The sequence below is a fragment of the Homo sapiens genome, chromosome 13 (genome assembly GCF_000001405.40).
Source record: "Homo sapiens chromosome 13, GRCh38.p14 Primary Assembly".
NCBI classification, from domain to species: Eukaryota; Metazoa; Chordata; class Mammalia; order Primates; family Hominidae; genus Homo; species Homo sapiens.
Genome location: NC_000013.11, coordinates 73,051,401 through 73,078,818, shown reverse-complemented (window position 1 = coordinate 73,078,818; position 27,418 = coordinate 73,051,401). Strand labels below are relative to the sequence as shown.

The following is a 27,418-nucleotide window of genomic DNA, read 5'->3' as shown; positions in this document are numbered from 1 at the left end:
ATGGTATTAGAAACCAAGATCTAGGAAACCGTCATTCTCAGCAAACTAACACAAGAACAGAAAACCAAACACCGCATGTTCTCACTCGTAAGTGGGAATTGAACAATGAGAACACATGGAGATAGGGAGGGGAACATCACACACTGGGGCCTGTCATGGGGTTGGGGGCTAGAGGACGGGTAGCATTAGAAGAAATACCTAATGTAGATGACGGGTTGATGGGTGCAGCAAACCACCACAGCACGTGTATACCTATGTAACAAACCTGCACATTCTGCACATGTACCCCAGAACTTAAAGCATAATTAAAAATAATAATAATAAACAAATAAAAACAAAACCTAGGCCTGGCGCAGTGGCTCACGCCTGTAATCCCAGTGCTTTGGGAGACCAAGGCTGGTGGATCACTTGAAGCCAGGAGTTTGAGACCAGCCTGGCCAACATGGTGAAATCCCATCACTACAAAAAACACAAAAATTAGCCGGGCATGGTGGCACGTGCCTGTAATCCCAGCTACTCAGAAGGCTGAAGCAGGACAATCCCTTGAACCCAAGGCAGAGGTTGCTGTGAGCCACGATTACGCCACTGCACTCCAGCCTGTGTGATAGTGTCAAAAAAAAAAAAAACACAAGATGTAGGTTCTAGGTGTACTTGTTGCTGCGGAATAAAACCAAATCCTAATGATTTTTTTAAGTGTTACACCAATTCTTCTTGTTTGCCTCTGATGACACAGCCTCCAGACTAGCACATGCAAGTTAACTCTCTATGGTGTTTTCAACTAAGGATGCTTAAGGTCTCGTGCATTACGTGGCCAGATAAGTATTCGTGAATTATGACTCCCTTTATGCTAATTTAAAAAATAAATCCCCCAGCTGGGCGCAGTGGCTCACGCCTGTAATCCTAGCACTTTGGGAGGCTGAGGTGGGTGGATCACGAGGTCAGTTCACAAGACCAGCCTGGCCAATATGGTGAAAGCCCACCTCTACTAAAAATACAAAAATTAGCCAGGCGTGGTGACGTGCGCCCGTAATCTCAACCACTCGGGATGCTGAGACAGGATAATCACTTGAACCTGGGAGGCAGAGGTTGCAGTGAGCCGATATTGCGCCACTGCACTCCAGCCTGGGTGACAGAGCGAGACTCCGTCTCAAAAAATAAATCCCCGTCTTATGTAGGTACGGGTTCAATGTGGCTCCTCTACAAATGTGTGGAATTGATTTCTCACTAACCGCCCTGATCAGACTCTTTATTGCAGGTAAAGAAGAAAAGCACCACATACATCTTTTAGGCACTTTTTATTTTCCAAAAAAAAAATTGTCGTTAATATATAAACATCTCATTCTCTCAAAAAATTCTACAACTATACAGCTGTTTGCTCCATTATTTGCATAGGAAATGACCACAATACAAAAATAAGAGGGAAAAAGAAGCAAAACAGCAACCGATTTCTGCTTTTCATGTAGGTGTGTTTCCACGTATAAACATTTTGAAGCCTCTTACAAAATTATTTACATCGTTTGTCATCTATTTACATCTTTTAAGAGCAACTTTTCTAACAAACAAAACTATAATTTATCAAGTTATGAAAATTGTCTTCTAAAAAAACTTACTATATTACCACAAAATAAATAAAGATAAACAATATTTTAAAAACAAAATTAAATTTTCATTTCAATTAAGACCCCTTTTGGCATTTTGCTTATTTATTCTGCCCTTTGGTTAACAGCATCAGCATCACATTACTATTTTATATTGCATATATGTAGCATTTGCTTCCTTAAGTTTTCAACATATCATTTATATTTAAAGGCAGACACTGAGTCAGTATTAATAGATTAACTAAACTGCACTGTAATTTAGATAAAATTACTGTGTCTCACTGTGTATTACATGCAAAATCCACATAAATTGTCATTTAACCAACAGTACTGCACGAGCGAACATCTCGATATATGAAAACTGCATCATCAATTCAACGTTTTGGTACTTGAAACTGCATCATAAATGCAACATTGTCATATGTGAAAACGACACCCTAAGTCCTTCTTTTTAAAAATGACATTGCGTTTAGCTTATTGTAAGAGGTTGAACTTTTGTATTTTGTAACTATCTTTAAGCTCTTCAGTTTATAATTCATATAAAATGCCTTTTGTATTTAAAATAATCCTATTTTAATCAGTGCATGAAATTTGCTTTTTTAAAGTTCATTTGAATGATTATTCCTTCCCTCTAAAGAAATGATTTTGGTAATGTTGAGAGGTACCTTACCACAAATCCTAACTGTAAGTGTATTCATGGTTATTTTCAAAAGAATTATGACTCTTCCCCAAAAGAATCCTAAAAAACTTGTAATAAACCTATAAAGCTGATTTGCATATTTACAAAATTTTGAATAGCAAATATAGGCAACTCATATATGTATATAATTTTTAAAAACCCACACATTTGTTCAATGGCTATTTGTGAATTGCCAGGTATACTGTATCTCTAAGGAATTACCTACTATTGAAAAAAACTACTCAATGCCAAGTAAAATCTTGACATACAATCCATTCTTCTTCTGGTGCCTGCCAACTGATTTGTTTACTGAACACTGTCACATTAAATGATGGTGCCTAGGTAAAAACGCTGCACACACTCCCCTCCACCCCCACCCCTTACCCATGTTGAGACGTGGCTGCCTGTCATGAGATGAGATCTGCTTGAGTAAAGCCATATACATTACAGCAAGCATTCCAGATTCTTAAAATGACCAAACACTTTGGTATTAATACAATGTATTCCCTGTTTTCTCAAATATACAAAATATACATTTCCAGTTTTAGTTGTGGTTTTCTTGCTTTTGTTTGTTTTTGTTGTTTTTACACAGGAATAGTTAGGTCTGTCATTTGAGGGAGCCCAGGGGACCTGGAACGGGTCACACGGGCAGTGCTCAGTTCTGGTGCCTCTTCATATGCAGGGCCAGGTGGTCAGAGCGCGAGAAGCTGCGGTTGCACACCCCGCACTGGAAGGGCTTGGCGCCTGTGTGCTTCCGGTAGTGGCGGGTCAGCTCATCCGATCGCGCGAACCTCCAGTCGCAGCCTTCCCAGGTACACTTGTATGGCTTTTCACCTGTGACAACGAACAAAGGAGGTAAAGCGGCCTGCTTGTAATGCAAACATCCTAGATAACACCGGAGAAGGAATTTCAAAGAAAAAAAAAATCTTGGCCAAGCGAAAGAAGGAAAGCTCATGAATTCCATTATGAGTAAATACATATCAAAGCCACTCAAAGTAAGCTAGTTAAGAGTTATTTCTTATAACCTCCAAGTATTTTTTACCTCATAAAGAAAAAAGCATTTTGTGTACCTTTGAACAACTGAAGAATAACAATTTTAGACAAGTACAAAACGAATCAGTGCCCTTATTTTTATGTACTCCTACACACATAAATCCAGGAAATGACTAGATGAGCCTGAGTGGCTTTATCATTATTGTGCAAATACAGTTTCTATACCAACAAACCCAAATTAAATTATTATAGGACTAATGGCTGTAAGGTGGGTGAGGGAGGAAAAAATTCAGAAGCTGTTGCACGAATCACCTATACATTGAATTTCATGTACCACAACTGCTTAACCAGAAACTGGTCCTAGATGTTTCTAAATTAGCCAGACAGAAGCTTGCAGCTCATCAATCAGTTCACTTGAAAACATGGCCTCCAAAATGGACTATTAGGGCATTCACTCTTTGAGAGTCACACACACCTTCACACACCTTCCTTTTGCAGATTGAAGCAAAATAGTCTGGTACTGATAACTTCACATTGGTAAAAAAAAAAGACCATGAAACAACTGTAAAAACTGACATTTGTTGACTTGTATTTAGTTTTTCTTTGTCATGTGTTACACCCAAAATTCATTCCATAAACAATTCGCCAAGCATCTATTATAGGCCAGGAACTGTCCCAAATACTTGTGATACAATGGCTAACAAAATAAAAACAGTTGGCCTCATGGAGCTTACATGTGTAATATACATCTAAAAGTCTGAAATTGTTCAACCTACCCATTCCATTCTTTCACAGTTCTCTTCCCTTGAGTATTGAGTTGGTATGTTCCTCCCTCCCATCCTGTAATGTATATTATTCCTAATGCTCCCCAAAGCTTGCCAGCTGTTTAACTTTCAAAACCACTAAATATTCATAATGTAGTCTTAATTCTCTGTTTGTGAAGAATCCTACTGGAGATCATATATTCCAGTAGGAATAAATGCCAAAACGTTCTTTCAGTGAGCATTAACTAGCAGTTCCTACATTTATGATTTTATAATTTTCTATGAATTTTTTATAAGAATTCGTGAGATAAATTTGTATATTAAAGTATTACTGGCTTACTGCTGAGTTTTATATAGATACTTTTTCACCTCTTAAATTCCCTTAAAAAAATGTTTCCTTCTGAAAGGGAGGAACCTCAGAGTTGCTTTGAACACTTGTTTAGTTCTGACGAAACAGAAACTGCACAACCTTTCTGCCTAATTTAGCAGTATCATGTTCAGGAAGTTGTAGGATTAACCAAGTCAGTCTAAACTTTAAAAGACCCTGTCCTCATCAACTGAGATTTCTACAATTTGTGGTTAATATATTTTTGTTGTCATGATAACCACTCTGACTCTCAGACAAAGAAGAAAGTGCCAAAACAGACGACATGAAAGTGGTCCCAATTTTTTTTCCCTTGAGAGTTCACCTACATTTCCCATGGTATGGATTGCTGTGCCATACTTCCTCTCTTCTCTCCTCTGCCTCTGACCCAGACAGTTTTTGTTTTAATTCCCTTTCTGGTTCCTATCAATCCACTTTAAAAATGAACATCTCAATTCTAGAAGTTTTTTCTCCCCTCATAGTAGATTCTAACCAGAAATTTAACCTAAGACACTCAAGCCATTTACAAAACAAAGTATAAATCACGTTCTGTCACTTACAATCACATAAAATGTCTGATATATAGAAATATTTTAACACCAGTAGTAAATATAGCTATCACATTTGTAGATGTAAATTGATCACAAAAAAAATTTTTGCACAGTACTATTAGTTTTTGTTCCCTGTGAAAAATAAACCACAGAAACAAACATATTGGTTAAATACTTTACTGTCATTTAATGGAAAGAAAAAGTTATTTCTGATGTCTGAGACAAGGAAAAAAATTCCTATAGTGCTCCCAATTTTAAAAGAAATCATTCTAGTCTTTTGAATTTAATAATTAAATAGCAGAACTGAATTTTCAGAGTTTATGTAAGAAACAAGGGACACTAGACTCTTTTTGTTCACTATTTTTATTGGCTATGAAGCAATAAACTGCACCAGTATTTTTTAAAGTTTACTTTACTGATTGCTTGAAATACGGTAGCCATTAAAGTTTCTAAAACATTTGGGGTTTTGCTCTCAATTTATGCACATCTATAGAGTATTCAGCCAAGAATACTACCAGTGTCTGGAATGTTAGTTACTGGGGCCAAGTCTTACCATAAAAGTAAGGACAACTATCCCCCCACTTGGGGCAGTTTCTATGGGATTTGTTCAAGTGTCAACACCGTTCAAGTAAAACATCGTAGAGGAAACTGGTACCCAATTTCTGGCCAAACAGCAGACTTGGGCCTTTCTTCCTCAGCCAGAAACACTATGCACAGTACTTCTGGGAAACCAAACTGACTTCCTTTAAGTTATATTTCAACAGGATAGAGCTTTCAAAAGTTTAATTGGATTTTTACAGAATCTCTTTCCAATACCACCAATTTAAAATATTTAGTTAAGCTCTTTCAACATCAACTGTATTTTTAAGTTCTCATGCTGTTAACGTGAAACTTTCCAAAGGCAAAAAGAAAAAAGTGACAAGTTTGTACAGCACAGAAAACAAGCTCCCACTTTATCTCAAAGTATGTGTTTTCTCATTCTGTTTTTAAATTACAGGAGTATTTTGCTAGAATCTCTAATCTTTGAAAACTATGTTCAAGTTAAACATGCATACTATCCACGCTGATAAAGTCATTAACATACTTTACAAAAATGTTAAGCAGAAACATTACCGGTAAAAGGAAAAGGGAGCAGGCACCAGCAGCCATGGAGCACATACTCCAGAGCGAGGTACTTCTCATTATCTCGCTTCCTCACAATAACCCCGTAGAGTTAGAAGCAAAACGATGAGCTCCACATTAAGAATCCTGGTCTGCCACTTTTCCTTAATGTCTCACTTAAATCTTCCATTAGCAAACACTAATACACTCTCTTTGAACGATTTAAGGAACACATACATATTGTTCAAATTCATTTCCAGATTCTAAAGCCACTTGCGAAGGTCAGCTAAGGAATGGCTTAATGGACTCACAGCAAGCCTTGAACCCCAGACGATCTGAAACAGAGAGCACAACCTGGCAGTGCCAGCCTCTGTGGGGCCTGTGGGGTCCTGAGCACTGTTCAGGTATTGCCAATTCCCAGGTATCACCTAACGATAGCTCCTTTCCCCCAGGGTAAGTGAATTTCAGTGGGTTAGTGGAACATGTTTGTAAGCCATTTTAAAAATCCTCAGCAACAAACTGAAAATTGTCCTTTTTTTTCCCCCCTCTGAATGACTTCTGAACCTATCACAATGGAATGGGAAGTTTCTCTGCTCTGCTGAACACATTCAATAGACATACCAAGGCCTTTCCCTAAAATGTTCTACATAGATTCTTCTAACAAAAGAATAAAAATCACTGATAAAATATTTATCTTAAAATAGTTATTTTAGATAATGTTTTAAAAGTTTATTGCAGCAAATTTACACATCGGTTTCCTTCCTGGTGACTAAAAGACAACTCAATCAATATCTGATAAAGCTAAAATATCATGAGAATTAAAGTCACTGTTTATTAGTGAAGGTGTAACCTGTACTAAATGCCTTGCAAAACTCAAATAAGACTTGGTTTCTGGCCTCAAAGAACTTAAAATCTTGTATCTTGTTCTGCGAACCTAAACAATCCAAACTTTTAAAGTAGAATAAATTATTTCAACCTAATCTAAACTCTTAGAACTTAAGAGTCCTTGAAGCTCAAAATGGGCTCTTATTTCAAGAGGAAAATATTTTCATGCAATTCAATAATAATTAGATTTTTCCCATCATTTGAGACTTACGAAATTTAGTCTCTGAAATAGGCTCATATTAGATTTGCTTCTAAAAATCAAAAGGGAGAAAAATAGGAAACACTTATTAAAGAAATTCATAGGAAAATGATTTAGATATCTAAGAAAAGAGATAAAGTAGGAGGATGATTTTAGCTCACTAATTCATATTTTTACGTCTATGCCAGTAATTTTCCATCAAAAACCTTTCTATTAAAACTCATTGTCACACATTTCCTATACTTGGAACAGAAGGTCCATATCAAAGATTAGTATTATTAGCATTTGTAAATGCATCTAATTATTTACCAGATAACACCATCAATATTGTGCCCATTCAACCTAAGGAAGCTGATTGCCAAAAACAAAAACAAAAGCAACAAAAGAGAAATTCCTTTCTCTCCTCAATTTATATTTATCACTTTCTTTAAAATCCGATACCTCACTCCTTCTAGAAAGCCTCTGAACAGACCAGGAGAGATCATTTCACTTCTCTGTATCCCCATCACTGAAATTTCTGTTGAGCTATCAATTTGCACTTGCACATATACTGCTTTAGGAAGGCTTCAAATAGTTGTATTTTGCCTCCTTAACTAGCTTTTAAAGTTCCTCAAGGGCAGAGACTATCTTCTATTCCTGCTGTAATGCCACACTTTCCCTAATGCATCTTGAAAACAACTCAGTTATTCTGATTAAAGAAAAGGAGGGAAGGCATAAAAGGTTCTTGTGAGGCTGTCAGCTTTTTATTCTTCTGTGGACCCTCCTGCAGCAGGGCTTTTGCCTGGCTTTGCCCTGCCCAGGACCACTGAGAGTAATCTGGTAATACGCATTTAGGTGAGAACCATGTTTTGAGCCACTTCCAGAGAAAATAATCGAATGAGTTATTGTCCATTCTGAAGTTATACAGGGATAAACTCTGTTTAAACAAATTGTCTTAGGTAGAACTGGACTGGACTTCAGGAAAGCCAAGACATACTAGAGCCCCTAGCACTGGTCAAAGGCAGCGAGGGGACTTCTCCCAGGGCCAGAAAGCACTGATCTGCCAAACCCAGAGAGGGAATGGGTGGGATCACGATGTCAGGGGTTACACTTACAGTCTACATCCTAGCAGAGATTTGGAATCTCTGGGCTCCTAAACTACTGCTACTTCTCCTCTGGGTTCCCAGTAAACATTATGAAGACTATCCCCTGTCATTAATAGAGTTAATGAAATCAAATACCAATTCTTCCGTCTCCTGATAACGAGACAACACTCGGATTCACTTTCTTATAATGGGAGTTCGCACTGACGTTAAAGTGTCAATGAGGAATTTCACCTTTTCTTTTTGTAAGCAAAACAGAAAAATCCTCTATTTTCATTTTTTCCCAGTATGGAATGAGTACTAGATAACCTTCCCTTTAATTTGCACTTCACATGGTGACCCTGACCAGTAGGTCTCCTCCCAACTCGTAAAGGTTTACCTTTTCATAAAGTAGCCAAAAATAAATTTATTCTTCTATATAGATATTTTTAGGTAAAAGTTACCTACTGTGCACTTCTAAAACTGTAACTTATCCTTAATAAGAGTTGTTGTTTGAGATCCTTGAATATAAATAATACTGGCTAACAGACTAGGAATGCTGCTACGGAGATACTTTTACTAAAGTAGGACATTATTTCTAATCTTTCACTAGAAACGATGTAGGCCATCAAGTAAACAGCTACTACATTCTATAGAACCAAAAATATCTGCCAAATTCTTGGGTGACTGTATTATTATTTTTTAAAAACATTACTCTCTACTTTCAAGACTAATTATTTCTATCTCCACTCCAGCAATTCTATTTAGTCTATGAACAAAAGGGCAAGAAGAGATTATTCATCTTTGGATTCTCCACAAAACCAGTAAAAAATATTTGCTGAATCAAATTATACTTAACTTTTGATAAGCTTTATCATCTCTAAACAATGTTTAATCAATTTCCTATGTAAATGTTTCTCAGAAGAAAGAACAAGTCCTAGAAGCAAAGTTTAATCTTCCCAGTGAGTCATTAAAAAGAAATTGCTTCTAAGCTTTCATGCTCATAAATACCTTTCCTGGGGTCTGAACCAGCAAGTCTCTTAAGCTACTACTTTAAAAAAAAATTGTTTGAAATTATCAATACACAAAATAAATTTCAAAGCTGCAAATGAAAAAAAAATGGAAAAGAATGAAAAGAATGTTTAATAAAATCTAATACTAAAGGCTAATAAATGTGATACTTCCTCTGCAATAGTTTTCAAATAGAGACTCAAAAAACCACTGAGTCCTAAATCTCTTCCTGCAAAAAAGATTTTGCCTGTGTTATCTCTACCAATAAAACAGGTTACACATTTAACCACTATTATTTCTCGATTCACATTGTAAGATCTCCATCCATTAAGGCCCAGAGTGAAAACCTTTGTATACAGTTTTCCTAAAAAGCCTTTTACCCTTTTCCCACAGTTCCACAAAAAGAAGAGTAACTTATGTTCAGAACACTGAATGTTGCTTTTAGTAAGTACCTGCAATGAAAATATCTTTATTGTCAATATTATCGATTTTTTATTTTTTATTATTATTATTTTTTCAGATGGAGTCTTGCTCTGTTGTCCGGGCTGGAGTGTGGTGGCATGATCTTGGCTCACCACAACCTCTGCCTCCCAGGTTCAAGCAATTCTCCTGCATCAGGCTCCCAAGTAGCTGGGACTATAGGCATGTGCCACCATGCCCAGCTAATTTTTGTATTTTTAGTAGAGACAGGGTTTCACTATGTTGGCCAGGCTGGTCTCGAACCCCTGAACTCAGGTGATCCACCTGCCTCCGCCTCCCAAAGAGCTGGGATTACAGGCGTGAGCCGCCACCGCGCCCAGCCAAATATTATCGAGATTTTAAAACCAAAAGCTATGTTTAATATATTCCATGAAAAATGACTTTGGAGCAAAGACCTAGAAAGGAATTTTTTTTTTTTTTTTTTTTTTTGAGATGGAGTCTCACTCTGTTGCCCAGGCTGGAGTGCAGTGGCACGATCTCAGCTCACTGCAACCTCCGCCTCGTGGGTTCAAACGAGTCTCTTGCCTCAGCCTCCTGAGTAACTGGGACTACAGGCATGTGCCACCACGCCTGACTAATTTTTGTATTTTTAGTGGAGATGGGGTTTTGCCTTGTTGGCCAGGCTGGTCTCGAACCCCTAAACTCAGGTGATCCACCTGCTTCGGCCTCCCAAGTGCCAGAATTACAGGTGTGGGCCACTGTGCCAGGCCCTAGAAAAGAAATTCATATCTAAGGATCTTTTAGTACCCAAACTGAAAGTCAATATATTCAGCAGCAAATCTCAAGTACAGATTATACGAAGTATAACTAATAACATCTTACTACACATGTCAGTAGGCAATAAAGTCTTCTGCAAAAGACAGTAAGGCAGAAAATGGGAATGTAACCCCTTTACAAACTAGGCTTCCACTAAAAATCTTTCCAGGACTTAATGTGGAAATCTTTCCTAAACAGGGAATCTTGAACACAGTGCTTTAAGAGTCCATTTTGTGAGTCTGGCGTGGTGGCTCACGCCTGTAATCCCAGCACTTTGGGAGGCTGGGGCGGGTGGATCATCTGAGGTCAGGAGTTCGAGACCAGCCTGGCCAACATGGTGAAACCCCGTCTCCACTAAAAATACAAAAATTAGCCGGGCGTGGTGGCAGGCGCCTGTAATCCCAGCTACTTGAGAGGCTGAGGCAGGAGAATCGCTTGAACCTGGGAGGTGGAGGTTGCAGTGAGCCGAGATCGCACCATTGCACTCCAGCCTGGGGACGAAAGCGAGACTTCATCTCAAAAAAAAAAAAAAAAGAAGAGTGAATTTTGTGTTCCTATGTTATTTGTACAATGTTTCCATTTTCTCCTACGGGCGTGTTTCAAATTGTCCTTTTCCATTGTCAATCTCCAGTAAGCCACTCTGGGATCACTTAGTACACACAGAGTCCAATGCATGGAGTCTGGGTCTGAGGAATACTTGAGCCAAGTGTGTGTTGTTCAAAGACTTTCTTTGTACAAATGCTAATTTCTTGCCCTGTTCCAGATAGCTGAAACGGGGGAAAAAAAAGAAAGAAAAAATCTAGAAACGTTACCGTACCCTGATTTCCCAACAGCTTTTCCATATTCTCTAAGGTTAAGTGTATATCCACGCACATGAAGGGAACCGCTAGGACTTCAAACATCTGTGTTGAGTTCATGGTTTACTTTTTCAGAACTTTTTCTCTGGTAAGAACTTTTTAAATTTCTACAAATTTTTGTTTGAAGATACAGTCAATATATTTTCCTACTGATTTCAACTTGCCTCAAACCTTTGCAAACTTAGACATTATTTTAAATGTTCATTATATTAAAGAAAAAAGTAAGGTATGTGAGCATATAATACTGGTTGCAATAGACAGTTTATCAGTCATGTTGATTTATAAAGACAAAACAGTATACTTGGGAGCAACTTTAGAGTAATAGCAATGTGTTCCGCCCCTTGTAGACATCATGAGGCATACAAATTTCAGTACAATGTTCATTTAAATGCTGTTAAAAGTACAAATATTTTGAATTGGAAATACACCACTCATTGACATTGTTACCTAGAAGCAGCCATAATTATTTCTCACCAAAGGCATGATAAATGTATACACACACATACTACAAATAATACATGCGAACATCCACATCTATAAGGGGTGCTTCTACAGGCCTTATGCTATACTATGTATGTACAGATATAAATAAAATATAATTATTCCCTAGAATAGAAGCAAATGTTTCCAGTATTGTCTAATCACACAAAGAAGACAGAACTTTGTATTATTTATATGCGATTTCCTGATAAAGAAATCAAAGTATATGAACTTAGAAGACTTGAATGCTATACTTCTGGTTTAAGAAACTGATATATCATCTACTCTGTCATCTCAGATTACTTAAAAAGTTCTATTTTGTTAAGACTATTATTTGCTTAGGTTCAATTTGCAACCCAAGTTAAAGAAGCACTTCCAATCTAAAAATCCAGAAGAAGTAATTAAACTCAGATGTAGGCTGTTTTCATTGCCTAAATTATTTTTAAAACATAAGGTAACTTGACATTTTAAAGCAATTACAATTATTTTCCAAAGAAATGCTAGGGTGCTTCACATTCTGCCTGTAAAACGACAATCATTTAAAGAGTATTTTATGTCATCAACTGTTGTGTGGTTTTTAAAGTCCTCTGATCAACGGTCCGAGAGGGAGGAGGAGGACAGAAAGAAAACCAAAAAAAGCTATTACATAAGAGAAGTAATTTAGAAAAACTGTCCTAACTGTTCTACCTGGGCCTTAAAGGGAAAGAAAAAAAAAAAACACCTTTGCTGGCTTCAGATACATTCATTTAAAAACAACAGGCGGGCAGGGTGGGGAGGATGCAATGAGAGAACAGGTAATTTTAAAAGGCATTGTCTAGAAATGAGAAATGAGGAGAAAACAACCTCAATGCTCTATGATTACCCAAGAACAGGTTTAGCCAGATGAACAAGTCTGCTACAAACCCTCCCCAAGGCATTTGAAAGACTATCAAACAAAACTTTATTAAACTGGATTACATGTTCTCATTCATTAGATGTTGAAGGCCACAATGTTTATGGTCAGGTGAAAAAGCTGATGCAAGGGACCCAAACCAGGTCTCGGTCTTCTTTTCAGTCTGTTTTTATTAGTACAAGCATTGTTAAGACAACCCACGATTAAATGTATTTGCCGGCAGGTCAAGTTCCTGAATCGCAGGTATAAGCATTCAGGGCACTAAACCCTGACGGGGTGAAAGGCTATTCAGATATGGGTTTGACTACATCCCTGCAATAAGTAGTTGATTACATCGTTATATGCAATTGTGCTCTTTTATTAGGAGACTTTAAACCCAGGAAAATGTGTTCCCTCCTATCTCTCAAGGACTTCCAAAAGTGAAAAAAACAATAGTTCAAATGTCTTTATATTTCCATTTATATTCTGTAAAAGGACATTTTGGTATTTCTACATGGAATATTTTCCTGGCACTTGTCATTTGTATTTTGAAAACTTTAAGTTGGAGTTTTTATAACATGCTTAATTCATTTGTGTTTAACTATAAAAATTTCTACCTTGGGCTGCCTATGAAGGATCCTTCCTCTTATGTAATCAGTTTGTCTCCATGCAAAAACCTCAGGCCAAAACAGCCCGCTCATTTCATAGATAAATACATAAGATGCCTTCTCCTTAAAAGCAGTTTCTCAAAAAGCCCTGGAATCTACAACATTGTCATCGGATTTTAGTAAGTAGTGTTTATCACTGGGATATCAAGCAATGCTTCCTAACATGCATACAAAATGTCTGCAACCATATTCCTCTTAGGGCTCTACCTCAGCACTGACCTTTGTTCAAAGGCTTTTACTTTTTAATGCAGCAGTTAGAGATAACTACTTCATTTATCAAAACTCAATTTCCATAGTAACATCTAGCCTCGGGAGATTCAAGTCCTCACACTAATCCAACAACCCATTCAAAGGAACTGTTGAATACTTTGGTTTCCATAGCAATGATGGAATAATACATTTTGCTAGGTCATTGCTTTTATTAGCAAACTTATTCTCTGAACTTTAGGTAAGGCTGTATTTATTGAGGGAAAAAAACACAATCACTTTATATAAGTTCTTTTCTTTAGGGCTGCTCTTTTAAGAAAATCGCAAATAGTAACCATCTATATATTTGACAATATTTGGAGTATTTGGGGGGCCTTTAAAGTATGCCACCTGGTTTCATCTTAAAATGGCTTCTGATATAATTTTAAAGTTTAAAAGCTCTTAAAAGTGCTGGTCGGGCGCGGTGGCTCACGCCTGTAATCCCAGCACTTTGGGAGGCCGAGGCAGGTGGATAAAGATGTCAGGAGTTGGAGACCAGCCTGGCCAACATGGTGAAACCCCATCTCTACTAGAGATACAAAAATCAACTGGGCATGGTGGTGGGGGCCTGTAATCCCAGCTACTCGGGAGGCTGAAGCAGGAGAATCGCTTGAACCTGGGAGGCAGAGGTTGCAGTGAACTGAGATCACACCACTGCACTACAGCCTGGCAACAGAGCAAGACTCCATCTCAAAAAAAGTGACTGCTATAGATTGAACAAAGCAAATACAAAAGTAGAGGAGCTAAACTTAAAAGCATATGTAAACAAGAATGAATGTAAGCTAGAATAAAGATCAAGTCTCTCACACATACCAAGTTTAGGCTGGGGCTTGTAACCCATTTCTGACCACCTGATTTTAACACTGCAATTTCAGCACTACCTTTCATCAAGCACAGAAAACATACTAAACACAGATATTTTAACCTAGAGGTGAAACTAACGTTTTCACCAATTATGCAGTACACTCCAAATGGGAAAGTTTTTAAGAGTTTAAAATGGCTTTCTCAGAGCAAAATTATTTGCTATGGAAGAAAATGAGTTTTGTTTTGTTTTTTTTCCTTCAAAACACTGCCAGTATAAGTTTTAAAATCCATTAGTAAACATCGCTGTTTACATTTTTGGGTAATCAACTCTGAGCGGTGACAGGGCAAGAAGGCCTTAGTGAGGGAACATCACCGGCCTTCCTGGAACCAGATTTCTCATGGAACTGAATTCTGAACCAAGCCTGTGCTGAAAAGGTAGGCTATTTAAAAAAAAAAAAAAAAACAAAGTTGACAGGAGAAGAGATCAAACACGTGTTAGCTTTTAAAAGGATGAATACCACTTACACTATTTACACAACTCACAGAATTAACAAGAAAATTACATACCAGTGTGAGTCCTCAGGTGAGCTTTTAAATGAGAAGACTTGGTATAAACTTTTGTGCAACCTAAAATAAAGGAGAACAGCATGTCATTTTGGAGATCCTTTTGAAATCTTTACATTTGATGATTCAGTGTTTAAAATCTGGCTTTAAAGAAGAAATCTCTCATGCTAGATGAGATTATTTGAAGCTTCAGTTTTAAAAGTTTTAAAGAGCCCTCCCCCATTACCTTATTAAAGGCATGAAGTGATTTGTTTTATGTATCACTTTAACAGGAAAGAATACAGATAATCAAGCCAAACTACAAATGGAAAATTTGTGTTTATATTCCAGTAGGTGCTGTACTTCCGTATTAAGAGCTGCTATATGTTTTTTTAAAAATTTTAATGGCTCTAGAGCTGACAGTACTAAGCCATTATCCAAGATGACTGTAATTTTCTGTACTCCCACATTTCTTCTTTTTTCATTTAGCACGTCATGCCATATCATGTATCAGAGTCAATAAATTTTGCCATGTATTAATCATAAACTAGCTTTCCCAGTAACTTGTAAATATATTCCATGTATTGTCTTCAACTTATACTTTGGGCCATGTATGTCATTCAAAACTGAGCATATGCTCACGTGCCATCAAAACCATTCTTAAATCTGTCTTGTAGACAGTCTTGTACCTAACATCAAGCTAGCTGCCTGCAACCTCCACTTCACCACCAAACCTTATTTTCCCCCACCCTACTTTAATCTCTTTCTGGGGCACTTAATTTAGAATTAAAAACTGCAATTTATTCAATTGCCATTTTAAAGTAACTCTGGCCTAACTCGAAATAATATGTATTAGAAATTCAAATCTGTTTTAATATTAAAGAAAAAAAAATCCAAGGGAACTTTTTCCAGAATATTCTAGCCAAGTTTTTGATGCATAACATAAGCAACAGACAACTAACTGGTTTACATACCAAAGTTAAAGCACAGAGATAGGATAGAGAAAAAAAAAAAGGTAATTTTTTTTTTTTTTACTGTCAAGTACAACTTTCCTATTTAAAGCCATGAGGTTGAAAAGGGCACGCGCGTGCACACACGCACACGCGCGCGCACACAGACACACACACACACACACTACATCTATTGATGCTTCAACCAGGTAAGAGCACATACCAGGGTAATCGCAGTAGTGGATGCGTCGTTTCTCCAAATCGGGGTTACTCCTTCTATTGTATCTGACAGGTTGGATGTTTTGTGAGTTAACTGGCAGGGTGGTGGGTAAATTTGGATTGTGAATTGCCAGTTTAGAAGCAATTGTAGCAGCATAGGATGGAGGTGGGGTTAAATTCTGGAGCATCTCTGCTTGTCTATCTGGACTTCCAGGCTCTGAGCTTGGTGGTGACGGGGGAAAGTAAGTGGCCTGTTGTGGAAGAAACTGACTTGGCATTGTGTATGTGCAAGGGGGCATGCCCTGGAATTGTTTCACTGCAGTCTGCGGAACAGCAGAGGTGTGTGTGTTAAGGCCTGCCATGGCAGCTGACATAGAAACATTAAGAGTGTCCATTGCTGCTGTCTGATTTGTAGAACTGGGCATATCTAGATCCGGTGTATTCAGTAGCTGGTACAGGTGGCCCTGCTGGGTAGGGACAGAAAGATGAAGATCTGGTGTAGGAAGTTCTTGTTTGATGAAAATATTGTTCACCTCTGGAGCTGCGGTCTGGTGTGAGCTGAATATACTGGTGAACTCAGGGAGGGCCTGGGTCGGGGCCGGAGGAGGGGCAGTCGTTTCACTCTGGTGGCTGAAAATGGCAACAGGTTCTGTCTTGATGTGTGTTACGCACGGTCTCTGGGATTTGTAGAGGCCAGTTCTCAGGTGAGTGATGTCAGGGAGGAAGACGTTCATGTTGATACTGTAAGGTAACCCTTCAGTGTCAGTGAAGAACTGGTCTACGACTGAGGCACTGTCTCGTCTATACTTTTTATGCTCTGGAATTATAGGAACTGGAGGAAGCTGAGGTGTCAGATACTTCTCCATTTCACATCTTGTCTAAAAAAGAAGAGATATAAAATGCATAATCCACCTGATTCACCATCTCGGGAAGAACGAACAATCGGCGCCTACTAAAAATTCCCCCAATCCCTGTGTAAGGTACTAGGGCAAACTCCTCAGTGTTGCTTATAAACATATCAGGCTTATTTTGTCGATTGTGTAATAACTGGTTGACCAAAACCTTATGAAACTCTGTGTAACTGGTAAAACTGCTCCCCCAATCACCCCCAAAAGTGAAAGACGCAAATCAAGAATAAAAAAGAAAGCAAACTTAAAACATTCCATTCTGATGCAATAACAAGGTACCATCACCCCTGTACAAGCAGGATTCCCTGCCCCATTACACAGTTAAGTTTGCAATTAGAGTACAGTATTGAAATGTTGCCAAACTACCTCAATTCTGTTTAAGTCACAAACATTAAAAAGCGTGGTTTTTTTTAATAGAAAAAACGATGCAAACCTTTAAAATATTGCACAGGTTTCTTTTCTTGACTAGATACTTCAAAAGTAATATAAAAATATTATTTGGCTATTTCAGTGTCTTTTCTTGTTTACAGTTCAATGAGAAATTAAACACAACGTTCTAAGCAAAACCTTGTATCCACTGAAACAAAACAATTTCACATTCAATATTTGATCTAAATGTTGATTTTCATCAGCAGATCCTGTAATTGGTTAATATGATAATGAAATGTTCCTATTCATATCCCTATCTAAAACAGATCTTTAATTACCTAGGGGAAAATCACTCCCTTGGTAGAGTGCTGCTAAGGAGCCCGTGGGTGGGGAGGCTGCTGTATCCCTAGCACAGTCATCAGCAAAACATTTATCATGTCCTTCTCAGTGGGCCAATGCTACATTCCCCCCTACTCTGTAAAAAGCTCAGTCATCCCTTATCTTCTTAGTGCCTCCAGAGCAGAAAATTGACAAACTGAAATAACCAAATACTTTTCAAACGGTGATCTCTTTTCTAGGCTATAAACCAGCTTGTAACAAGTCGCCTCAAGCCTTTTCCAGCTATCTTCTCTCCTAGTATAACTTAAGCCTACATTTTTTAACACTGAAAAGGAAATTTCGAAAGATAAGAAAACCAACTAGATGGAATGGCGCATATATTAGCTGTGGCACCTTAACAGGTAAATAAGACAGTCATTTTCTGCTACTACTTCATTTCAAATGCGTTTCATCTCGGACCTTGGTGTGGATGCGGACGGGGTTTCCCGGATAGACATGATTTAAAAATAAAAATTAACGCTCTCATCATGTGAGTCACATCTCTGACAAACGCCACTGCCCTCTCACAGCAAGACCCTGGCAGACCCCACGGAGTAGGCGCTGGGTAGCAAATATACGACACGCCAAAGAGCTACTAAATGAAGTGTCTTGAAATAAACTGAACTAAACCCTTTCGTGCACTGCGCTCCCGCGGCGGTTAGTGGTTTCTGATTTTAGCTCTTCCAGCTGTTTGCATGTGGGTATGTTTCCAATTTTTTTTTCCTTGGGACAGGCTAAAAGTCCCGGGAAGTTTTTTCTGGGCTATATGACTCCCTGCGTGGGCGAAAGAAACAGGCGGTTGCTCTAATTCGGCTGCTGGGCAAGTGTAAAAGCCAACTGCCAGCTTTCAACGCGGCTCCGGGAGGAAATTTACGTGCACACGAAGAAAACAACACCCCCGGTCTTTTTTTTTTTTTTTTTTTTTTAAGGAAAAATAAGCGCTCCGACACAACCTTAGCTTTCCTAACTCTCATTTTCCAAACGCGGCCCGCAATCGCTTCTAAAGCAGGTTGAGCCACCGGGTATGAAACCTTGGGGAACCTCTCCCCAGCACCCCAATTTGCGTTTCTACTTAACCCGAGACGATGGGGATGGGGGGGAGGGCTCCAATGCCTTGGCATTGGAGAGCGGTACAGGCGAAGGCGTAATTTAAGTAAAACTGAGCGTAAGGTACAAGGTTTCGTCCCTCAAGTGTAAGAAAAACAACTAAGGTGCGCGTGAGCACCCAGTTCCCTCCCTCTTACCTCTCCCAGGCCGACCCGCCGGGGCAGATTCCCCTCCATCCTTCCCACCCCCGGCCCCCCCCCCCATTTACTCTCAGCGAAACGCGGGGCCCCGGCCAGGCGTGCAGGGCGGGGCTGCCCACCCAGCACCGGCTCCGGTGCGCCCCGACGCACGCCCCAGCCTGGAGCGGCCCCTGTCGCCCGCGAGTCGCAGCAACGGGACACGCCCGAGCCCGGGAGTGCTGCGGTGGGAGGGGAGCGGCTCTTCCTACCTGGACCAGGTCCTCTGGAGGCAGCCGCGGGCCGGTGGCGGGCGGCTGGGCCGGCTGCGGGGCCTGCGCGGGCGCGGGCTGCGCCTGCGGGCGGTGGTGCGCGTGCTTCAGCTCCTCGCCGGGGAAGAGCGCCGCGTCGCGGGCCGGATTCGCGGCGCCCAGCACCGGCTTGAGCTGCGCGAACACCGGCTCGTCCTGCGGCGCCGGCGGCTGGGGCACGGGTCCCAGGCGGGCGCTCATGCTCAGCACCCTTGTAGCCATGGGCACTCGGGGGCGCAGCTCCAGGCGCGGGTCGGGCGCACTTCCCACCTCGCCCACGCTGGCTTGGGTCGGCGAGCTCAGCGCGGGGCTGCCGGCGGAGGAGGGGAGGTTTCGGGTGGACTCCTCAGACAGCGGCAGGCAGTTTTCGAAGGCGCGCACGAAAAGCAAAACTCTTCCGCTCTTCCACACGTAAACGCCAACGTCCTCCGGGCGGCCACTTTCTCCCGCCCCGCCCCACCGTGCTCTCAGGCTCTCCGGAGCCCGCTCCCGCCACCGCCGACCTCCGCGAGAGAACCGCGAGCGCACGTACCTGCCCCGCGACTACTGACACTTGACGCCCGCCTCTATTTCACCCAACTCCGGGGGGGCGGGGCCCGATCGCCTGATTGGCAGCGCCGCCGCGAATCCCGAGGCCCCGAGGCCGGCCAGGCCTGAGCGGCCAGCCTATGAGCAGGGAGAGAGGCAGCCAGGGCCCCGCCTCCGTCGGCCCGACCGCACCCCTCTCGGGCCACGAGCTTCGCGCGCAGGGCGGCCGCGCAGTTTGTACACAACTTCTCTGACAGATTGGGCTGGCGGAGCCGGGGGCGGAGGGAAGTAGCGGAGCGGGTGGAATCTGGGAAGAGGGGGAATTAGGGTGGAGACGCGGAGGGAGATCTCTTCGCACTGTTCTCTGCCAGGATTAGGAAGAAAAAGAGTATTGCACGTCTTAGGTGTTGTGCAAGGACCTGAAACTCAAAAGCTGAAACCCAGAAGGCAGCTAGGTAGGGGCGCTGAGGCTTTTAGAGATTTGTCTAATGAGTGTGTACTTTTAAATATCCAAAATGTACTTCTCTTTAGCAGAAAACTAGGGGCGGTGTGATAAACAAATTTAAAACAGCTCTTGTCCCTGTGTATCTTTAGCAGTGAGTGTATCCGTTTAACAAGGCAAATTCAGAATGCCTGAATAAAAGATTTGATGGCAAGCGTTTTTTCAGATCCTTGCATAAAAGCCTGGGTTTTTCCCACTCCTTCAGGATTTTAATTGCTAGACGTTTTCCCACACATTTCTACTTCCCATCCGTGTGTGGGGAGGAGGGCTTGGGCCATATGAATTTTGAAGTTTCTAATATTTAAGCCGTGTTGATTCTAGCCGAAGCATGGAATCTAATTTAAGCACGACTAGCTCAAACGTGTATTTAAATAGACATTACATCTTTGACTTATTTTTGCTAGCACTGTATGTTCAAAAAATGGACTTTAATATTTACAAAGCAGAAACCTAGCACATTTACCTCACATTGTGGCACCTTTTCCTACGAAGAGACAATCAAAAAGCCGCAAACATAGACACAGAGCAGCTCTGAAAACTGGGAATCCAAATTTGTTGGAAAGTAATAGCCAAATATATTACCATCCATTTACTATGTTGTTATAATGGGAGGGTGAATTTTTGCCAGCAATCACCTAAGGAAACCACTTCCCTTAATCCTTAATGTTCTTGTACATGATTTTATCTGGCTTATTGGGAGGACGGAACAATAAACTGCAATAAAAATGCCTGTGATATTACTACAAATGTACATATGTTGACACACAATATACCATTAGACAGTTTTACATATACCACAGCCTATTCATCACTTCAGAGTAAAACAGCTTTAAAAAAAAGTCTTGGATAAAAACGTTCACTTCAAAGAGTGTATCTATCAAAGGTATGGATCTCATTTTCAATGGGTAGAAAATTAATATGCACATAAAGAAATGTATTTATTATTAGAAAATATAAAATTATGCTGTAAACTGGGTTTTTCTCCTTTTCCTTCTCTTCCTGTTGACACATGATTCATTTTTATAGCTGTGATCACTGCCTTCAGAGAATGGCTGATGACTACTTTCATGTTATCAAAGTATTATTTAATAAGTGCTTTTGCAAGTTTTTCTCTAACCAAGCAGCCCCATGCTGTCCATCTTCATCTTTAAAAAGCTGTCCTGCTTTTCTCTAATGTAAAACCTATCATGTAATTAATTAGCTTAGAAACAGATTATAGAATTAGGATGGGATTTAATGTAACTCTTTTAAAAAATTGAGCTTTGAAAGATTTTTAGTTACTTAATTCTGATAACATCAAACCTAAATGTGATGTAGATAATTCTTAATAGAACTTTTGTGCTCTTGTAACTTTAAGCTAAATCTAACTTAGATTTAATACATTCGGTAGCTGTATCTTAATGTGCTTTTAAACCTATCTAGACCTTTCCTTTTGTCTTTTTACGAGAGCTTCAGTGGCCCGGTCTTTCAACCTAAGTTTTCACTGCAATAAAATCCATGTATTTTACTGGAAATGCTTCTATAATTTCACACCACTTTTTAACATGCTTTCATTTACAAAAGCTTTTTCATTGCAAAAAAAAAACCATACAACTAAGTTTTTAATATTTTTAGTCTTGTTAATTTTTCATATTTCCACTTTTCATAATATAGATATGAAGCTAGCGTTGGGGTTCTTATAGTAACTGAATATATTCCTTTTTGCTCCAATACAGTAGCAGGTTTTAAAATTCCATTTTGGGCATAAAGATTCATGAAATAGGGCTGCCACTTTTAAGTAATAGTTTCTCTGAAATGCCCTGCTCTGCAGTCTCACAGAAAATAACTAGCTTAGCACTGTACAATAGTACGGAAATTGGAAAGTAATCCTTTTCGGAGACATTTGCCATGTGATTCTGAACATATAAAGAACATGTTCGACCAAGTTTCCTTGCTGTTGCTTTTAACATAAATGCTACAGCTGCAAACCTGTTTCACCGACTTAGTAAAAAGGGTTAAAACTTGATAAATATTTTTCAAATGTTCCAGGTTCTACATTGGCTTGAAGCCAGACAGTGTGAATGGACAGATCCTCAATTACTTTGAACTTTCTAGTTCTTTGCATTCCTTCCCGCTTAGTAGTGCTGTACCATTAGGGAAGATAGGAGAAAACAAAAAACAAATGTCAGGTTTCAGAAATCAATTAGTGGCCTGGCAGTGGTGTGTTAACTGAACTGTGCCAAAACAGGGGATTCTGAGGGAATGAAATAAAAATGTTGAGTAGTCAAGTTAGGTAGGAGGGTAAGCATAGAAGCAGTGTGCATGCTTAAGTCCTTAGTCACTGGGCAACACAGATTTAGTCTTAGAATAAACCATAAGTGTCACTATCTTTACGGGAATAAATACGGATGAATATGCGGGGGCTGAACAGGCATTCAATGTTGGGGGAGGGGGTTTGAAGGAGGCAGTGGAAAAAAATAGATAAATAGCTTCTGAATGATGAGATGAGGGAAATATGAAGCTATCACTAGGGCAATGTTCACACAACGACACGGCAAAAGGAATATCTAAATTCAGTTGTTTGGCAAATCTAAATTCAGTTGTTTGGCAAAAACGTCACAGCTTGAAATTAAGAGGTATAGAGTATCACAGCCAACAAAACTGTATTCACTTTGAGTAGAAAAATATTCATAGAATATTTATTTCTGCCAAATCAGTATCAAATTGCCAAGTGATCTTGGGCCACAGAAAAAAGAACAAGAATAAAAATGAAAAATAAAGCTTTATACGGGAGCACACTCTTCTCTAGGGTAAGATTATTTAATTAAAGTGACTTTTTGGTAGTCATTGATTGCACACCCCTGTTAGAATCTGTATCAGTGAAAACTTAAAACTATTGTAATTATTGTCCTCTCCAACATTTCACATCTGTAGTCTTTGTATTTTTTCATTAATGGCAACCACCTAAAGCCACACATCAGAAAAAAAGTCATTAAGGAAATAGCCTGATAAATAGAAGCTTCAACTGAGATTAGTTGGAATTTAAAGCATTTTGACTCAAAAGATTACGAGACAAGAGAGAAGATGCTCTGTTCATTGCTTTTGTGATGAAAAAATATGCAGTTTAAATAAGACTAAATACTTCTATTTATATTAATTAAAATTATGTCTTAAGACAACAATTTAATATTTTATTTTTGTAATGTCTCTTGCCTCCAGTTCTTAAGAAATTACATTTTATATTTCAGTTTGGATTTTTAAATGTGTTCTTCTTAAAATATTTCATAAAACTCCCTTTATGCACTTATTCCTAAGGGTACTATAATTTATCTAGCCTAATTTTAAAACTCTAATAATATCCAAAAAAACAGGAGAGTTTTACCTTTTGGAGAGACTGGGATTGCTTTTTCCACCTTGTTAGTATAATAAGTAGACAAAAGTGACATAAATATAAATGCCTGGAACCAAGTTATAGGCCAAGCGTATTGTAGCTTAAACTGCACAGTATTTAAATTCTGACTCGAAACATGATAGGCAAGGTTAAAAGAAAGGTCTGAGCTAAAGTGGTTACACCAAACAATCTTTTAGAACATTAGGGAGGTCTCATCATCAGCATCACAATGGGCAGTGTTTTGAGCCGATTGCTGTTCATGTTATGACAAAAGCTGTAATGTACCAGGCTGTGGGGAACACCCTGTGAATGCTCAAATGAACCGTGCATGGGTCACACGGAAATACTCTTTTAGATGTTGATTTATAGATGAAGTGTGTAAAAGTAGTGCTAAAAGCAATGTGAGTTCTTCATGCCTTAACTTCCATACACTGTTGATGGTTGTGTAAACTTTAAAACTTTGGGGAAGGACAATTTGACAATAAGTATGAAAAAGGCTAAAATGTAAATAACTTTGAAAATGATAGATAATTCCTCTTCTAGGAAAGGTGTATGTGTATATATATACACACACACACATATATATACACATATATATATATATATACACACACACATATATCTTTATATATAAAATTGGGCCAGGCATGGTGGCTCACACCTATAATCCCAGCCCTTTGGGAGACTAAGATGGGAGGATTGCTTGAGGCCAGGAGCTGGAGACCAGCTTGAGCAACATAGTGAGACCCTATCTCTACAAAAATGTTTAATATTAACCAGGCATGGTGATGTATGCCGGTAGTCCCAGCTACTTGGAAGGCTGAGGCAGGAGGATTACTTGAGCCCAGGAGTTCAAGGTTACTGTGAGCTATGATCACACCACTGCACTCCAGCCTGGGTGACAGAGCAAGACCCTGTCTCAAATAATAATAATTAATTTAAATTAAAATAAAATTGGAAATAACCTAGGTTAGGTGTCCAACATTAGGGGAGTAGTTAAGCAATACATCCATACCATGGCTACTGTTATGCCACCAAAAAGTTGAGTAGTTGGAAAAAAAGGGGAAAAATTCTTATTATTAAGGAACATTTAGTGACATGGGAAAACATTCATGCTATGTATAGTCAAAGAAAGGGGTTTTATAAATATGTACCCACAAAGATGAAAAGAAAATACCAAACATGGATGTATTTTGGTGGCCCTCGTTAGATGGTTATATTATAGGTTACTGCTGGGCGCGGTGGCTCACGCCTGTAATCCCAACACTTTGGGAGGCCAACACGGGTAGATCACCTGAGGTCAAGAGTTCGAGACCAGCCTGGCCAACATGGGGAAACCCTGTCCCTACTAAAAGTAAAAAAATTAGCCGGGCATGGTGACGTGCGCCTGTAATCCCAGCTACTCAGGCGCCTGAGACAGGAGAATCACTTGAGCCCGGGAGGCAGAGGTTGCGGTGAGCTGAGATTGCACCACTGCATTCCATCCTGGGTGACAGAGCAAGACTCCATCTCAAAAAAAAAAAAAAAAAAATTATGGGTCATTATTCACTTCTGGATACTTTTCAGTATTTTCTAGATTTTCTACAATTGCTATGTATTCCATTTGTAATCAGAATAAATAGTTTAAATGAAAACATAAATAAATATTACCTTTCTACAGCTAAGGGTTAGTTGGAACTGAAGTAGTTGATGATCAAATGATTTTCCATTTGAAGCCAGTAAAGTGTACCTACAACTTGCCAATACTCTGTACTGGGAAAACATGTAAACTTTCTTAACCAAGCTGCTAGATTTTCAGGAATTTCACTGCAGAATGAAGAAGCTGAAGAGAGATTACAAAGGGGAGTTTGAAGTTCAAAAGGGATAATATAGGGAATGTCTGAAATATAAATATGCTTTAATTCATTTCCTAAGTGATCAGCAAGACTTCCTCTACACTTATTTTTACTCTGTTATTTTGGGTATCTCATTTTACTTTGTTGCTCTGTTTTCTCATATTAAATAAAATAGGCTGCTTACACTGATTTGACAAAATGCATAGACTCTTAAAACCAGGTAAAGTTTATATGCATCTTTAAAGAGGTGTTTGTGTTTGGGTTTTTAAATTCTAAAATACTCACATAGAAGATTTGGCATGAAATAGTTTCAAATGGGATGTTATCTTTCTTTCTCTCTCGCTTTTTTTTTTTTTTTTTTTGAGACAGGGTCTTGCTGTGTTGCTCAGGCTGCAGTGCAGTGACACAAACATGGCTCACTGCAGCTCCAGCCTCCTGGGTTCAAGTGATCCTCCCACCTCAGTTTCTCCAGTAGGTGGGACCACAGGCCCCACCACGTCAAGCTAAATTTTTTTATTTTTTGTGGAAACGGGGTTTCTCTGTGTGGCCCAGGATGGTCTCGAACTCCTGAGCTCAAGCAATCCTCCTGCCTCAGCCTCTCAAAGTTCTGAGATTACAGGCTTGAGCCACCATGCCCAGCTCATACTATTGTTTCTCTAAGAGCCTTGTTCTCTTTTCCGGAACATAAAGTTGTTCAAAAGTTATTCCCAAATTTGGTTACTGAGATTTCAGAAATTAAAGTGGAAGGAGGGTGGGGATGGTAGTCTACAAACTTGATATTTAAAACATATTCTAGAGGCGCAGCAAGATGGCTCACACCTATTATCCCAATGCTTTGAAAGGCTGAAGTGGGAGGATTGCTTAAAGCCAGGAGTTCAAGACCAGCCTATGCAACATAGCAAGACCCCAGTCTCTGCAACGAGTAAAAAGAAGAAACTAGCCAGGTGTGGTGGCACACGCCTGTAGTCCCAGCTACTTGGGAAGCTGAGGCAAGAAGATTGCTTGAACTCAAGAGTTTGAGGTTACAGTGAGCCATGATTGTGCCACTGCATTCCAGCCTGGGCAACAGAGCAAGACCCTGTCTCAAAAATAAAACATTTTCTATTAAATATTCAGTAGACGGCTGAATTTCTAAGGACCCGTTCCCACCCCCCAGCTCCCCACTGTCGTGACCACAACTCACACATAAAACATACATATACACCAGTCTTTATTCTAAATTATTCGGAGCATTGGTGCCTGCAAACATTTTTTGAACACTCTGTTCAACAGTGCTCTATGCAGAGCACTGTTGCAGGTCTTAGAAATAAAAAGATGAGCTGGGCACGGTGGCTCACGCCTGTAATCCCAGCACTTTGGGAGGCTGAGGTGGGTGAATCACAAGGTCCGGAGATCGAAACCATCCTGGCTAACACCGTGAAACCCCGTCTCTACTAAAAATACAAAAAATTAGCCGGGCGTGGTGATGGGCGCCTGTAATCCCAGCTACTCGGGAGGCTAAGGCAGGAGAATGGCGTGAACCCGGGAGGCGGAGCTTGCAGTGAGCTGAGATCACGCCAGTGCACTCCAGCCTGGGCGGCAGAGAGAGACTCCATCTCAGAAAAAAAAAAAAAAAGAAATACAAGGATGAATAAGATATAGTCCCTGCCCTAAGCACTGTAAGCATCGCCTGATAGGTAACCTTGCTTCTCAGATGATAGGTAACCTTGCTTCTCAGATATGTTTCATTATTTTCCTCAGTGAGGAAGGAAGTTCAAACTCCTCAGCCTGGGACCTTGTGCTGACCCCAGCCTATCTTCCCAACTTCGTATCTCACTATCCCTCCCCTGCTCTTCTCCCATGAACCTTAGGCTCTAACCGTTTGGATTATTTGTAATTTCCCAAAAGCCCCTTCGGTTCCCTCCAACTCTAATG

At 39.7% G+C, this 27,418-nt stretch overlaps 1 protein-coding gene across 3 annotated transcripts, besides 4 other annotated features; it reads right to left on the bottom strand.

Moving 5' to 3' along the window:
* Positions 1 to 1,280: 1,280 nt before the first annotated feature.
* On the bottom strand, positions 1,281 to 23,843 carry KLF5 (KLF transcription factor 5). 3 transcript variants are annotated; one of them, NM_001286818.2, is made up of 4 exons: positions 23,661 to 23,843; positions 16,085 to 16,958; positions 14,936 to 14,995; positions 1,281 to 3,111 (listed from the first exon to the last, which is right to left on the bottom strand). In NM_001286818.2, the coding sequence occupies exons 2-4, from the start codon at positions 16,944 to 16,946 to the stop codon at positions 2,933 to 2,935; spliced, it is 1,101 nt and encodes a 366-aa protein (NP_001273747.1). In that variant the 5' UTR covers positions 16,947 to 16,958; positions 23,661 to 23,843; the 3' UTR covers positions 1,281 to 2,932. The 3 variants fall into 3 exon arrangements, with proteins under 3 accessions (NP_001273747.1, NP_001721.2, XP_047286509.1); NM_001730.5 differs by lacking the exon at positions 23,661 to 23,843 and adding an exon at positions 19,231 to 19,814; XM_047430553.1 differs by lacking the exon at positions 23,661 to 23,843 and adding an exon at positions 18,980 to 19,137.
* Positions 2,479 to 3,284: an enhancer, noted in NCBI's record as "OCT4-NANOG-H3K27ac-H3K4me1 hESC enhancer chr13:73649673-73650478 (GRCh37/hg19 assembly coordinates)". NCBI's record gives its function as "activates a minimal SCP1, AML or CMV promoter by ChIP-STARR-seq in naive and primed H9 embryonic stem cells {active_cell/tissue: H9 hESC(naive and primed)}" and the evidence as "EXISTENCE:reporter gene assay evidence [ECO:0000049][PMID:30033119]".
* Positions 3,285 to 4,091: an enhancer, noted in NCBI's record as "OCT4-NANOG-H3K27ac-H3K4me1 hESC enhancer chr13:73648866-73649672 (GRCh37/hg19 assembly coordinates)". NCBI's record gives its function as "activates a minimal SCP1, AML or CMV promoter by ChIP-STARR-seq in primed H9 embryonic stem cells {active_cell/tissue: H9 hESC(primed)}" and the evidence as "EXISTENCE:reporter gene assay evidence [ECO:0000049][PMID:30033119]".
* Positions 19,051 to 19,140: a silencer, noted in NCBI's record as "silent region_5398". NCBI's record gives its function as "represses an Ori minimal core promoter by ATAC-STARR-seq in GM12878 lymphoblastoid cells {active_cell/tissue: GM12878}" and the evidence as "EXISTENCE:reporter gene assay evidence [ECO:0000049][PMID:35858748]".
* Positions 19,461 to 20,070: a silencer, noted in NCBI's record as "silent region_5397". NCBI's record gives its function as "represses an Ori minimal core promoter by ATAC-STARR-seq in GM12878 lymphoblastoid cells {active_cell/tissue: GM12878}" and the evidence as "EXISTENCE:reporter gene assay evidence [ECO:0000049][PMID:35858748]".
* Positions 23,844 to 27,418: the final 3,575 nt, after the last annotated feature.

What these genes read in the sequence shown, in the direction of transcription:
- KLF5 (NM_001730.5), bottom strand. Translation starts at nt 19,491, where the DNA reads ATGGCTACAAGGGTGCTGAGCATGAGCGCCCGCCTGGGACCCGTGCCC. An exon ending in CTCCAGAGGACCTGGTCCAG is followed by an intron (nt 16,959 to 19,230) that starts GTAGGAAGAGCC and finishes CTTCTTTTTTAG; the next exon opens with ACAAGATGTGAAATGGAGAA. An exon ending in CCACTACTGCGATTACCCTG is followed by an intron (nt 14,996 to 16,084) that starts GTATGTGCTCTT and finishes CCTTTATTTTAG; the next exon opens with GTTGCACAAAAGTTTATACC.